The 14,315-nt window shown below is 41.1% G+C and overlaps 1 protein-coding gene across 5 annotated transcripts in view; it reads right to left on the minus strand.

The window, feature by feature from the left end:
- MBOAT1 (membrane bound glycerophospholipid O-acyltransferase 1) overlaps positions 1-14,315 on the minus strand; it is a 112,786-nt gene that overhangs the window by 53,323 nt on the left and 45,148 nt on the right. The window lies entirely within an intron of this gene.

Below are 14,315 nucleotides of genomic sequence, written 5' to 3' on the forward strand. Positions count from 1 at the left end.
TGTATTTTTAGTAGAGACAGGGTTTCACCGTGTTAGCAAGGATGGTCTCGATCTCCTGACCTCCTGATCCGCCTGCCTCGGCCTCCCAAAGTGCTGGGATTACAGGCGTGAGCCACCGCGCCCAGCCTTGCTCTTGTTTTTTGCAGATTTCCACATCAAGAGGCTTCTCAGACTTGGATTTGTTCTTTCTCCCCAATAGATTGTTTGGAAGAGGAAATGAATGTAACAGAACAAGAAAACTATACCCTCGTGTGGTATAAGATGTGACAAACCCAACAGTTTTTCTCTAACCTTTAAGACTGGCCAAGGTTGCTTTCCCACCCACAAGCAGGGGGCTTTTCATGGAAACAGCCTAAGCTAACTGAGCTCTGTTTAGTGGGTCTCTTTTCTCACCCCCAGCAGGACCCTAAGACAAAGAAGGTGTTCTTTTAGAGATGCAAAGTTTGACAAAAGAGCTCCCTTATTTGGTACCTGGGAAATCAAATTGTTCTCCAAAGTGATCACCAGTTGTTTTTTGACTCTGCGAGTGACTCACGTTCCCTGATACTGGTACTAAACCCATTGTTCTACTCTAGCAAAATGCAGGACTTACAACAATGTCTCATTTTAAACTGGCATCCAATAAACAAGAGCATTTCTCAAATTCAAGGTGTGACACTGAAGATCTACAAATAGTGACACAGCCCTGCATTTAACGTCCAGTGCCAAGCCTGTCCAGTTATGCAGGGTAGACACCAAATTTCCTTAGAAAAATCTCAGTGGTCTACCTCTTGAGAATATTGGGCCTAAAAGAAAACATTTAAACATTTCCTGAAATCTATAGAAAAGGTCAGCTGATTTTAAAAAACAATAAGCAAACATGTACCTTTGCAATTTATATTTACCCAAATCAAATTCCAAATACATTAAGTGGTTTAACCATTCATTAAAACTAGAAAAGTAACTTAAACTCTTCAAAGTATTCAAAACTGAAACCTCAGTATGAATTCACTTTTAGAAGGCACTTAATTGAAAAGAGACCGAAGATAGAGACACAACTTCAGCATCAGTATTTCATGCTTCAATAAACTGCTGCTGATAACAAAACTCATTACGGCTGAGCTGGGAGGTAGAGCACAGACATCAGCTCCATTTGAGCTCATTTTGTTTGCCCAGTGAAAAACAATACTTTGGACCCTTTGTAACTCGTAGAAAATATTGCTTTCAGAAAATGTTTGTTTTGGTTTTTTTAAAGTTGACCGTTGGCCAGGCGCGGTGGCTCACGCCTGTAATCCCAGCACTTTGGGAAGCCGAGGCGGGCAGGTCACCTGAGGTCAGGAGTTTGAGACCAGACTGGCCAAACATGGTAAAACCCTGTCTCTGCTAAAAATACAAAAATTAGCTGAGCTTGGTGGCGGGTGCCTGTAATCCCAGCTACTTGGGAGGCTGAAGCAGGAGAATCGCTTGAACTCGGGAGGCAGAGGTTGCAGTGAGCTGAGATCGCACCACTGCACTCCAGCCTGGGCAACAGAGCAAGACTTCATCTCAAAATAAAAATAAAATAAAATAAGATAAAAAATAAAATAGAAAAGTTGACCTTATTGAATTTCACCTTTCCAAAAAACCTGTTCTCACCACTGCCCACCTTCACTTTCTATCTTGACAGACAGAGAAGCGACTTGTGAGCCTGTCCTGCGTGATTTGGTCATATCTTTTCATCTAGACTGAATGAATAGCCAATGAACACACACAAACACAAAATGTATATAGAAAAAGAATCACCTTAGCAAGTTTCAAGACTCACATTCCCTAAGACTGGTACTAAACCCATTGTTGTACTCTGGCAAAATGCAGGACTTACATCAATGTCTCATTTTAAACTGGCACCCAATAAACAAGAGCATTCCTCAAATTCAAGGTGTGACACTGAAGATCTATAAATGGTGACACAGCCCTGCATTCAACATCCAATGGCAACTGGAAAGTCCAAAAGTTATAATAAGTGACAGATCACATGTTCTTTCATTCTCACAGCCCAGCCTGCAGCCACAACAGAACTCAGGAAAGTGGCTACAGGGAAATTTCCTGCATTCTTTTTGATTTGGCCAGAATTATTGAGCATGTGCACATGAGGAATGATTTGGAGGATGGATCGTGGTTCTCACGAGTGTAGTCCCCCGACCAACAGCATCCACGTCCCCTTGGAAACTTGTTAGAAATGCACACTCTTGGGGCCCACGCTAGACCTACTGAATTAGACATTTCCTAGGCAGGATCTGGCAATTTTTGTTCTAACCACCCCCAACACCCAGTTGATTTTGATGCACACTCAAGTTTGAGAACCACAGGGATAGAAGAGAAACAAGGTATGTTCCCTCCCTTCAAGGATCTTATCATCTAACTGGGGAAACAACACGATTAACCTAAAAGTAATTGTGAAATAACAGTAAGACACTGTCTCTACCCTCAAATCAAGAAGAGAAGACTTACATGCTCTGGGCTTCGATTCCTTTATTTCTAAAATGTGTGCTTTGGGGGAATTGGTGTCTAATATCTCTTCCAGGTCTAATGGTCTCTGATTCTATATCTAACCTGTGTTTAAAAACAAAAATTAATTGGGAGGCCAATAGGCTGAGTTGGTTCCAGTGCCTTGGGTTCCCACATAAGCAAGCCAAAACCTAATTCAGAGGGAATAGTTATAGCCCAGAAAAACAAGCTTGGCCAATCAGAAACTACCAACTAAGCTCCAACTAGAGGCTTCACCAATCAGAAACTACCTACTAAACTCTAACTAGAGACTTTACCAATCAGGAACCACCAAATAACCTCTAAGTAAGAGCTATTCACTTTAACTCATCAAATATTTTCTTGGGTTTTGCTTGTTTGAACACCTTATAAAAGTTTTCCCCAATCCCTTTTGGTGGAGCCCAAAGTGCTTGCAGTCTGGTGTTGCCTGATTCATGAACCACTGAATGTTCAAATAAATGCTTTAAAATTTTAGGGTCCAGCGCGGTGGCTCACGCCTGTAATCCCAGCACTTTGGGAGGCCGAGGCGGGCAGATCACGAGGTCAGGAGATGGAGACCATCCTGGCTAACACGGTGAAACCCCGTCTCTACTAAAAAAAATACAAAAAATTAGCCGGGCGTGGTGGTGGGCGCCTGTAGTCCCAGCTACTCGGGAGGCTGAGATAGGAGAATGGCGCGAACCTGGGAGGCAGAGCTTGCAGTGAGCTGAGATCACGCCACTGCACTCCAGCCTGGGCGACAGGGCGAGACTCCCTCTCAAAAAAAAAAAAAAAAAATTAATGTGTATAAGTTTATCTTTTTACACCAGAATCCTTTCCTTGACTGTTCATGGTAAATGCCTAAACTCAAGACTTCATCATGGATTAAAAGCTGCCCTGTATGTACAGACTCAACCTGCTCCACCACCCTCTCCCCAGGAGGGAATCCTGGATGGCCAGCGGAGTGCTCCATGGCAAACTGCTCTAAAGCAAAAGTAGAAACACACAACACCACCACGTAGTTCTAGTAGGAGGGTTCTAGCAGATATAGGATTGCTTTTCAGTGACCACACGTGTACATCTTATAAGGTACAGGCTGAACCAGACTGAGATACCACTTCACAGCTGTTAGTATGGCTATTATATATTTTTATAAACCAAACAGAAAATAGTAAGTATTCACAGAGATGTGAAAACATTTGAACCCATGTGCACTCCTAATGGGAATGTGATTTGGCTCTCTGCTTGTCTGTTATTGGTGTATAAGAATGCTTGTGATTTTTGCACATTGATTTTGTATCCTGAAACTTTGCTGAAGTTGCCTATCAGCTTAAGGAGATTTTGGGCTGAGCAATGGCAACAAAAGCCAAAACTGACAAATGGGATCTAATTAAACTAAAGAGCTTCTGCACAGCAAAAGAAACTACCATCGGGGTTAACAGGCAACCTACAGAATGGGAGAAACTTTTTACAATAGAAAAGTATGCCATCATTAAAAACAGGTATTATAGGCTGGGCACAATGACTCATGCCTACAATCCCAGCACTCCGGGAGGCTAAGGTGAGAGGACTGCTTGACACCAGGAGTTTGAGACCAGCCTGAACAACACAGCAAGAACCCCATCCACCCAAAAAAATAAAAAATAAAAAAATTAGCTGGGCATGATAGTGAAAGCCTGTAATCCTAGTTACTCAGGAGGCTGAGGCAGGAGGATTGCTTAAGCCTACAGTTCAAGGTTATGGAGAGCTATGATCATGCCACTGCACTCCAGCCTGCACAACAGAGACCTTGTTTCTTTAATTTAAAAAATGGGCAGTTTATAAAGTACCTGCCATAAAATGAAAAACATTTGAGATAACTAATGAATAAGAGAATATAAAAGTATATGTATAGTTACAACTATGTAAAAAAGGCAGCATATAGAAAATGTTGCAAAAATAACGTGTAAAATGGAATACGACTATTTTATCAGGATGGCAGGAATCTAGGCAAATTTTTTTGTAAATTATTTTCATCATTTGGAAAGGTAAAATTACATGTAGAATTGCCCACACATTCCCTGCACTACCTACGTACACTCACATACACAAACAGTGATACTCTAAGGAACTCATAATGCTTATGACTGGTATCCCCAAAACATCCTCATTTCATACTACTTACTCTATCCTCAGTGTTGCAATTATTAGCACCCACTACAAATAAAGTTTAGGGAGGAGCTGGGCATAAATGGAAGACGTTAAACTGTAAAAAAAAAAACTCATCTTAAAGAAAAAAGACACTTTTTATAGACAGCAAAAGAAACAATGTATAACAGTTAACAGTAATAAAAGTAACAGTCAAGAGTAACAACGTGGGTGGCCAAAGAAAATGAAAACATGAGCCAGCCCGCAGTGGCTCATGCCTGTAATCCCAGAACTTTGGGAGGCCAAGGCGCGCGGATCAGCTGAGGTCAGGAGTTTGAGACCAGCCTGGCCAACATGACGAAACCCTGTGTCTATTAAAAACACAAAAATTAGCCAGGCGTGATGGCATGTACCTGTAGTCCCAGCTACTCGGGAGGCTGAGGCAGGACAATCGCTGGAACCTGGCAGACAGAGGTTACAGTGAGGCAAGATCATATCACTGCACTCCAGCCTGGGTGACAGAGCAAGACTCTGACTCAAAAAAAAAAAGAAAAAAAAAAAAAGGAAGAAAATGAAAATATATACCATGATTACTGGCCTAAAAACAACCACATTAACCAACAGAATAGGACAGAGAGTCCACAAATAAGCCTACTCTTCTATGTCCATTGATTTTTGACAAAGGTATGAAGAACACCCAATGTGAAGAGGATAGTCTTTCAATAAATGGTGTTGGGAAAACTGTATAACCACATACAGAAGAATGAAAATGGACTTTCATCTCATCCCTTATACAAGAATCAACTCAAAATGGATTAAAGGCTGAAATGTAAGACCTGAAACTATAAAACTGCTAGAAGAAAACATAGGCGAAAACTACATGACACAGGACACTGGGCAGTGATCTCTTGGATTTAACCCCAAAAGCACAGGCAACAAAAGCAAAAATAGGTAAACGAAAGCACACCAAACTAAAACGGCTTCTGTGCAATAAAGGAAAAAATTAACAGAGTAAAGAGACAACCCACAGATTGGGAGGAATATTTGCAAATCATAAGGGGCTCATATTCAAAATATAAAAAGAATTCTAACTGCTTAATAACAAGAAAATAAATAATTCTAATTACCAATGGGCAAAGGATCTGAATAGACCTTTCTCAAAAGAAGACATACAAATGGCCAGCAGATACGTGCAGAAATGCTCAACATCTCTAATCATCAGAAACATGCACATTAAAACCACAATGAGACAACACCTCACGTGTGTTAGAATGACAATTATCAAAAAGATGAAAGATAACAAGTGCTTGGAGAGCTTGTGGAGAAAAGGGAACGCCAGCACACTGTCAGGAGAAATGTAAATCAGTACAGCCATTATGGAAAACGGTATGGAAGTTCCTCAAAAAACTACAACTAGAATTTGCCACATGATCCAGCAATCACACTTTTGGGTATATGCCCGAGGAAACTGAAATCAGTATGTTGAAGAAACATCTGCACTCCCATGCTCACTGCAATTCTAATTCAGGGGTCCCCAACCCCCAGGCCATGGGCCAGTACTGGTCCATGGCCTGTTAGGAACCAGGCCACACAGCAGAAGGTGAGTGGCAGGTGACCGAGAGAAGCTTCATCTGTATTTATACCACTCCCCATCGCCTGCATTACCGTCTGAACTCCATCTCCTGTCAGATCAGCAGCAGCATTAGATTCTCATAGGAGTGTACACCCTATGAGAACTATAGCCAAGATATGGAAGCAACCTAAGTGCCATCAAGGGATGAATGGATTTTTAAAATGTAGTATAGATGCACAATGGAATACTACTCAGCCTTTAAAAAGCAGGAAGTTCTGTCATTTGCGACAACATGATACACCTAGAAGACATTGTGTTAAATGACATAAGCCAGGCACAGAGAGACAAATACCGTATGATCTTAAGTGCATGTGGAATCTAAAAAAGTCGAAAAAGCAGAGAGTTTAACAGTGTTTACCAGAGGCTGGGGGTGGAAGGAAGTAGAGGAAGAAAGGGGAGACATTGATCAATGGGTACAAAGTTACTGTTTGAGGTGATAGGTTATGTTAATTAGCCTGATTTGATCCTTCCACAATATACATATGTATCAAAACATCACATTGTACCCTATAAACATATACATTATTTGTCAATTAAAAATAAAATAAAACTTACAAAACATATGTATCATGATGTTCCTTAATAAACCCTTCACATTTAAAAGGAATATATACAAAGTTTACTTTTCTACTGATCCACTCCCTCCAGAGCAGCAAATAAAGTGGCATTTTCATTCATGACATCCAGCAATGTGCTCTCAACAATTAAAGTATTGTGTGGGCCTTTATGCATGAGGGGACAGTAGAGCACAGCTATTTTGATCAGATTCCTATAAACAAGCAAGACTGACATAGCTCAGATTCAGCAAAAGCTCAATTTCCACAGCTCTTGCAAGATTTCAAAGTCGCCGCAAAGAAATAAAACACATGCCCAAGTGTTTGACTTCTTATTTCATCAAACCACAATCAAACTGTGCTACAATTTTCAAACGCAAGTCTTAAATCTACCCTAATGTGCTGCTAGAAAGACATTATTTGGGGATTTCTGTTCCATGGCCTTCATACTCTTCCAACAAAACAGCACACTTTGCCAGGAATTAAAAACACTGCCTTTCTCCTAACCAAGAGATGCAAACAGGCTATTTTTAACAAATAGCAAATATTAACGGTCCAAAAGTATTTCCCCTACTGCAGTGGTTTACCAGTGGCTCACCAATGAGCAACAGGCAACTGTCCAGGCCTGGAATGTCGAGTGTAACAAACTAAAAAGCTTCTGTACAACAAAGGAAAAAATTAACAGAGTGAAGAGACAACCCACAGATTGGGAGAAAATATTTGCAAATCATAAGGGGCTCATATTCAAAATATGCAAAGAACTCCAACTGCTTAATAACAAGAAAATAAACATTCGGCAACACTGCCTTACACGCTCCAAGGCAAAACCAATCAAGTTAAACAATTCCTTATTTAATGGCAGCCATTCTTCCAGCACAAACAGTACTCTTTTGCATTGCCCCCTACAAATAAATGTAGCTGGGAAAGAGTACTAAAAACGCTATTCCTTCCTGTACCACAGAACAAAAAGTGACTGTAGAATACCCTTGATTTACTTTACACTTTCAAAGGGATCCTTTGTTACACTTTCATTCCACACTCCTCAGAATGTCAGCAGGAAGTATTTTTAAATCTCTAAAGAGCCTTCTTTTTCCCAGTTTGTGGATAAGCAAATATTACTTAAGATTGATAATCAATGTACACAATTTATTGCCCAAAAGACCTCTAATTCAGGGGTTCCCAACCCCCCGGGCCACAGACCAGTACTGGTCCATGGCCTGTTAGGAACCAGGCCACACAGCAGAAGGTGAGTGGCAGGTGACTGAGAGAAGCTTCATCTGTATTTACAGTCACTCCTCATCGCTTGCATTACCACATGAACTCCACCTCCTGTCAGATCAGCAGCAGCATTAGATTCTCATAGGAGTGCAAACCCTATGGTGAACCATGCATGCCAGGGATGTAGGCTGCCGCTCCTTATAAGAATCGAATGCCTTACGATCTGTCACTGTCTCCCGTCACTCCCAGATGGGACCATCTAGTTGCAGGAAAACAAGCTCAGGGCTCCCTCTAACTCTACATTATGGTGAGTTGTATAATTATTTCATTATATATTACACTGTAATAAGAATAGAAATAAAGTGCACAATAAATGTAATGAGCTTGAATAATTCTGAAATCATCCCCATCCCCCACCCCCACTCCATGGAAAAATTGTCTTCCACAAAACCAGTCCCTGCTGCCAAAAAGGTTGGGGACTGCTGCTCTCATTGATATTGTGTCTCATCATAACAATAAATGCCGTTTATCCAGTGCCTACCATGTGTTGGGCACAGTGATACACCTTCCATAAATGACTCCACTGAAGCCTTCCCACACCTTAGGAAATAGCTCACTCCCACTTTACACAGGAGGAAAATGAAGAACAAAACGGTTAAGTGCATGGAGCAAGTCACAAAGTCAGGGAGTGGTAGAGCCAGGGTTTCAAACGCAGCCTGAGTTCTCTTGTGGTATATTCCCCTGCTTCACTTTAACTCCCAACATTCTCCCCAGAAATAATAGCACTCAGGGAGAACTTAGTAGTGGCCTGTATTCATTTTCTAGGGCTGCCATGACAAAATACCAAAAACTGGAGGGTGGGTTGGGGGGCAAAACACAACAGAAATTTATTTTTCTCCCAGTTCAGGAGGCTGGTATCTGAGATTGAGGGTGTCGGCAGGGTTGGTTTCTTCTGAGACCTCTGTCCTTGGCTCCAGATGGCCGTCTTCTCCCTGTGTCTTCCCTGTGTGTGTGTCTGTGTCCTAATCTCTTCTTACAAGGATACCGGTCATGTTGGATTAGGACCCACTGTAATGACTTTCTTCACTACTAAGTTATTAATAACTTAATGACTGCTTTGAAAGCCCTGTCTCAAATACAGCCACATTCTGAGGGACTCGGGGTTTAGGACTTCAACATTTAAATTTTGGGGGAACACATTTGGCCCACAACACTGCCCAATAAAAATCCTCTACTCAAACCCACGGAATGAAACACACTTCATTTTCTTTGCACCTACAGCTAGGAAGCAGGTAAGACTCAAAGCAAAGGCTGCGTGGGATGCTGGGAGCCTCGGAGCTTCCCATCTGCCTGGAGGTGCCTCAGCCACTACAGACAGCACCAGAGAGGGTTCTCCCAGCTCCTGTGTGTGTCAGGAGCTTGTTAACCTATAATGGGTACAATGGGCTTACACATGTTGAGAAAGTTCATTATCCTTTGACCTTTGTTTAAAACATACAAGTTTTGAAGCAATAATAATCAGCATTTATTAAACACATATTATGTGCTGGAGTCTCCACAAATGTTGGCTGTTATTCTGCATGCTTCACATCTACTGTCTCATTTAATCTTCTTGACAACTCTCGATGTGCTACTGAGAAAACTCGCACAAAGTCAATGGCCCCAAAACCCTCAGCTGTAGGGCAGCTCCATTAGTCAAACTGAGAGGCTTAGGTTGCCTGCAGTGGCCTCTCAAGATCTCATTCTTGTACAAGGGAAAATTTGAATTAAACTGATAGAGCTGAAAGTCCTTTCCAACAACTGTTCTTTGAGGCATGTGTAAACCCTCTGTCTGTAGTTTGTATAGTCATGAACCAAGCTTCTTTCCATCAGTGCTGGGTACATCCTCCAGTCCCTCTAGAATGGGATAATCCCTCCTTTAATGCTCAGAGAAAGAGTCCTTATACACTTAGAGATTAAATTGTACAGGGAGACTTTTGGCTTACCTTATTTTGCAAATATCATGTCACATGGATTAGTTATGATTTAGAACGAAAGCCCTTTAAAAACTTACTCCAATGGCTAAAAGGTGGAAAACGATTGTGCTGTCTCTTTAGGCTTCGAGGCAAGAAAAAATCCTGAAGTACATAGGTGATATCTACGTATTTCAGCCTGCCTCCTATCCCATAAATCAAATCCTTATAATCCTTGGCCCAGCAGGCAGGGAAGACTGTATAAAACTCAGGACCATTTAGGACTCTTAAAAAACCCTGTCCACAAGCACGCTGTTACTCCTCACCTCTGGAAAGAAAACATTCCCATTAAATTCCACTGTTAACCAGTTAAAAATGTTAATATTATTCATACTTTATTGTTAATAATATTAACATTGGCTAGCATTAATGTGCTGCTGACTACCTCCCAGGAACTGTTTTCATTCCTTCTGCCTGTATAATTCCTTTTATCTTGACAACTTTTGATGTGCTTTGAGGCTTCCATTTTACAGATATGGAAATTCAGTCATGGAGAGGTTAGAAAATTTACCCAAAATCATACACCCAGTCAGTGGCAACACTGGAATTTAATCTCAGGGAGTCTGGTTCTACTCAGGCACAACCTTCTCGCATGATTCAATATCTCACTTTCCAGATGAAGGAACTGGAGCCCCGAGCCAGTACGTGACCTGGCCTGGGTCACACAGCCTCTGAACATCAGAGTTAAGACCAGAACTCAGGTGTCCTGACTCCAGTCCAGCATGCCTTCTGATGATTCCCCAGCAGCCCTGGAGGTGAGGTGGGAGAAAATTGGGGTACAGAGGGTCAGAAGGGGCCCATCTAAAAATAAGAGCCTGAGTAAAGAATTCTGGGCCTCCATAAGGAGTGAGGGGCACACACTGCTGAAGGGATCCCACTGAATAAGGAGGTGGAATGTTAGGGGGTGATTTTACAACCTTGACCGGGGCCCGGGATGTCAAGTTTTATACAGATAGAGATCACTACCAATGGCATGTTTGTATGTGCATGTGTCTGAATAATGTGTGTGCATAATATATATTTTTAATATGTGTATATATTATGTACATAATATATACTTATGTTTACTATATAATGTGTGTGTATAAAATCTATATATAATACAAATATATGTATTTAATATAGAATGTATGTGCATGTACACACACACACACACACACACACACACACAAACACACCCCATATATATGTAACCTGAAATTTTTCCTGTGGCTCAGGTCCACCCAGTTGGGCCTGGAGTCACCTTCTTTCAGTCTGGTTCCATCATGAAAAGTAACCTCAAATAAGAGACTTACAAGGTTAAGTGGGTATGTGGGATACTAATAACATCTACCCTACCAGATTGTGGTGGGCACTAAATGGAACGTGAAAGTACTACAAAAGTACTTTATATACTACTTTAAAAGAACTATAAAGCTTCACAAGTATTAGATAGGCTACAAAGTGTACAGTAGCTAACTAGCAGGACTTCTCAACATAGCAGCTCTCAACACTGGAATCAACCAAAGATCTGTTTTTTTGAAAAATTAAAATTTAAAGTGACTGATTTTAGAATCCTAATCCAGATCAGAATTTGTGGGAGGTTGGGGGATAAGGCATCTTTTAAAAAAATTTTTTTTAAGTTCCAAGGTGATTTTAATATTCAGCCAGGGCTGAGATCCACAGCTTCAACTTCTAATGCCAACCGGGAAGAAAGAGGCAGCTTAGCGAGTGTATGTTAGAGTACAGACAGTCCCTGACTTATTTATGATGGTTCGACTTACGATTTTTCAACTTTAAGATGGTGTGAAAGTGACTTGCATTCAGTAGAAACCGAACTTTGAGTAGCCATATGACCATTTTGTGTTTCACTCTCAGTACAGTATTCAACAAATTACATGAGATACTCAACACTTTATTATAAAATAGGCTTTGTGATAGATTATTGCCTACCTGTAGTGTTCTGAGCATATTTAAGATAGGGTAGGCTAAGCTATGATATTGATAGGTTGGGCATATTAAATGCATTGTTTGATTTTTCTGATATTTTCAACTTAGAGTGGGTTTTTTAGGATGTAACTCCATCGTCAGTTGAGGAGCATCTGTAATTAAAGATTTAAATCAGGCATAAAATAGACAAGAGAAGCTAGGACTATTAGCAATTATCTGATCCAAGCCCCTCATTTTGTGGGTAAGGAAACCGGTACATAGAGGGGAAAGGTTACTGTGGCCAGATTCTCCTGACTCCGTGGTCCAATCTGCTTCCACTTTGTAAATGGATTCAAAACTACATGTCCAACATTAACTACAACATCTGTATTGCTTGATACTTTTTTGAGAGCTAGTCCACTCCATACACCCTGCTTCACGAACCTGCAGAGGGGCTATGAGAAACATTTGGCACACTGTGTACCCAACTCTACGCAGAAGGCTTAAAATGAATAGTGGACTGGGTGCAATGGCTCACACCTGTAATCCTAGCACTTTGGGAGGCTGAGGCGGGTGGATCACTTGAGGTCAGGAGTTCAAGCCCAGCCTTTCCAATATGGTGAAACCCCATCTCTACTAAAAATACAAAAATTAGCCAGGCATGGTGGCACACACCTGTAATCCCAGCTACTCAGGAGGCTAAAGCAGGAGAATCGCTTGCACCCAGGAGGCGGAGGCTGCAGTGAGCCGCGATCGTGCCAGTGCACTCCAGCCTGAGCAACAGAGCAAGACTCTGTTTCAAAAAAAAAAAAAAAGAATAGGGAAACCAGTTTGGTTAGAATAGGTAAAAGTCATCTGAGCTAATTAACCCAACATCCTATGTTCCAAAGATAGAATGAAACATATAAGAACTGCAGGTCCTTCCAGGCATCTAGGAGAACTACATACAAATGAAGTCCATTAAAAGAAGCCATAGAGTTCATTTTTTAGCTAATTTCATTTTATTATAAAATTAATGAATGCTCATTTAAAAAAAATGAACAATACAGAGATGTACATGAGAGAAGTTCACAGATCCCTCATAATCCCAACCTTCTATATCTAGCATGCATCTTCCTCTTTAGCAGATGGAGCATACACTTTAATACTGTTTCCTATATTTACTTTCAAAATCCAAAAATATACCCATATGCATTGATTTCTCCTTTACTTTATCATAACCATGGTATAAAAACTACACTGTAACTTGTTTTTCATTCAACAAAAGATGGACATCTTTCCAAGTCAACTCATACTGAGCTAGCTTGTACTTTTTAAAGCTGTATAATATTCCACACAGTATGGCAGGTGTGGTGAACTTAGATTTTCATAGAGAGAGGTTTATCTTTACTCCATTCCCTAGGAGGGAAAATACGGAAGGAACATTTCCCCTTTTTCTCCGCCCTAACTCCCTCCCACTCTCCTTCCCAGGGAAGGAGGAATGACTTAATTAGCCAGCTGCTAAATTGAGAAGAGACACTGAGCAGGCCCAGCTCAGGCCTTTGGGGACTTCTCTCTTTGGGAGCCAGCATGCCTTTAGACAAAGGTATTCTCTGTTCTGTGCTCCCTGCACAGAGTTGTTGCACATGTTGTCCTGCCTGGAGTGGTCTTGGAGTGTCTGCTCAGCAGCATCAGTAATTGGGTGGCCAAATCAGTGTCATTCAAGGATAAAGTAGGAAATCTGCCAGGCGTGATGCTATAATCCCAGCACTTTGGGAGGCCGAGGCGGGAGGATGGTTTGAGCTCAAGAGTTCAAGACCAGCCTGGGCAAGAGAGTAAGACCTCATCTCCATGAAAAATTTAAAAAATTACCCAAGCATGATGACTTGCACCTGTAGTCCTAGCTACTTGAGAGGCTGAGGTAGGAGGATCACTTAAGCCGAGCAGATCAAGGCTGCAGTGAGCTGTGATAGTGTCACTGCACTCCAGCCTGGGTGACAGAGTGAGACCCTGTCACGAATGAATGAAAGAAAAGAAAAAAAGAAAAGAAAAGGGAAAAGGAAAAAGAAAAGAAAAGAAAAGAAACCCATTGTGGTCAATCAGCTTTATCATTAATGAAGATAATGATTTGATCTCCCCCGTCTGTCTCTTGGATCTTATTTCCAAATTGGTTCCACATCTAGGAGGAAAGCAGAGTGTTGTCTATTAGTTGCCCGAAACTCCAATACTATGGATGTGACATAATTTACTCAACCGTTCTGCAACTTCCAAGTTATTTTCAGTTTTTTTGCTATTACAAATAGCACCATTGTATCTATATCTTCATGTACTGGTAAATATATGTCTATAAGATAAATTCCTAGCTTGATCTAATAGTACCTATTTTTTAAATTTCATAAA

Source organism: Homo sapiens, chromosome 6 (genome assembly GCF_000001405.40).
Source record: "Homo sapiens chromosome 6, GRCh38.p14 Primary Assembly".
Taxonomy (NCBI): domain Eukaryota; kingdom Metazoa; phylum Chordata; class Mammalia; order Primates; family Hominidae; genus Homo; species Homo sapiens.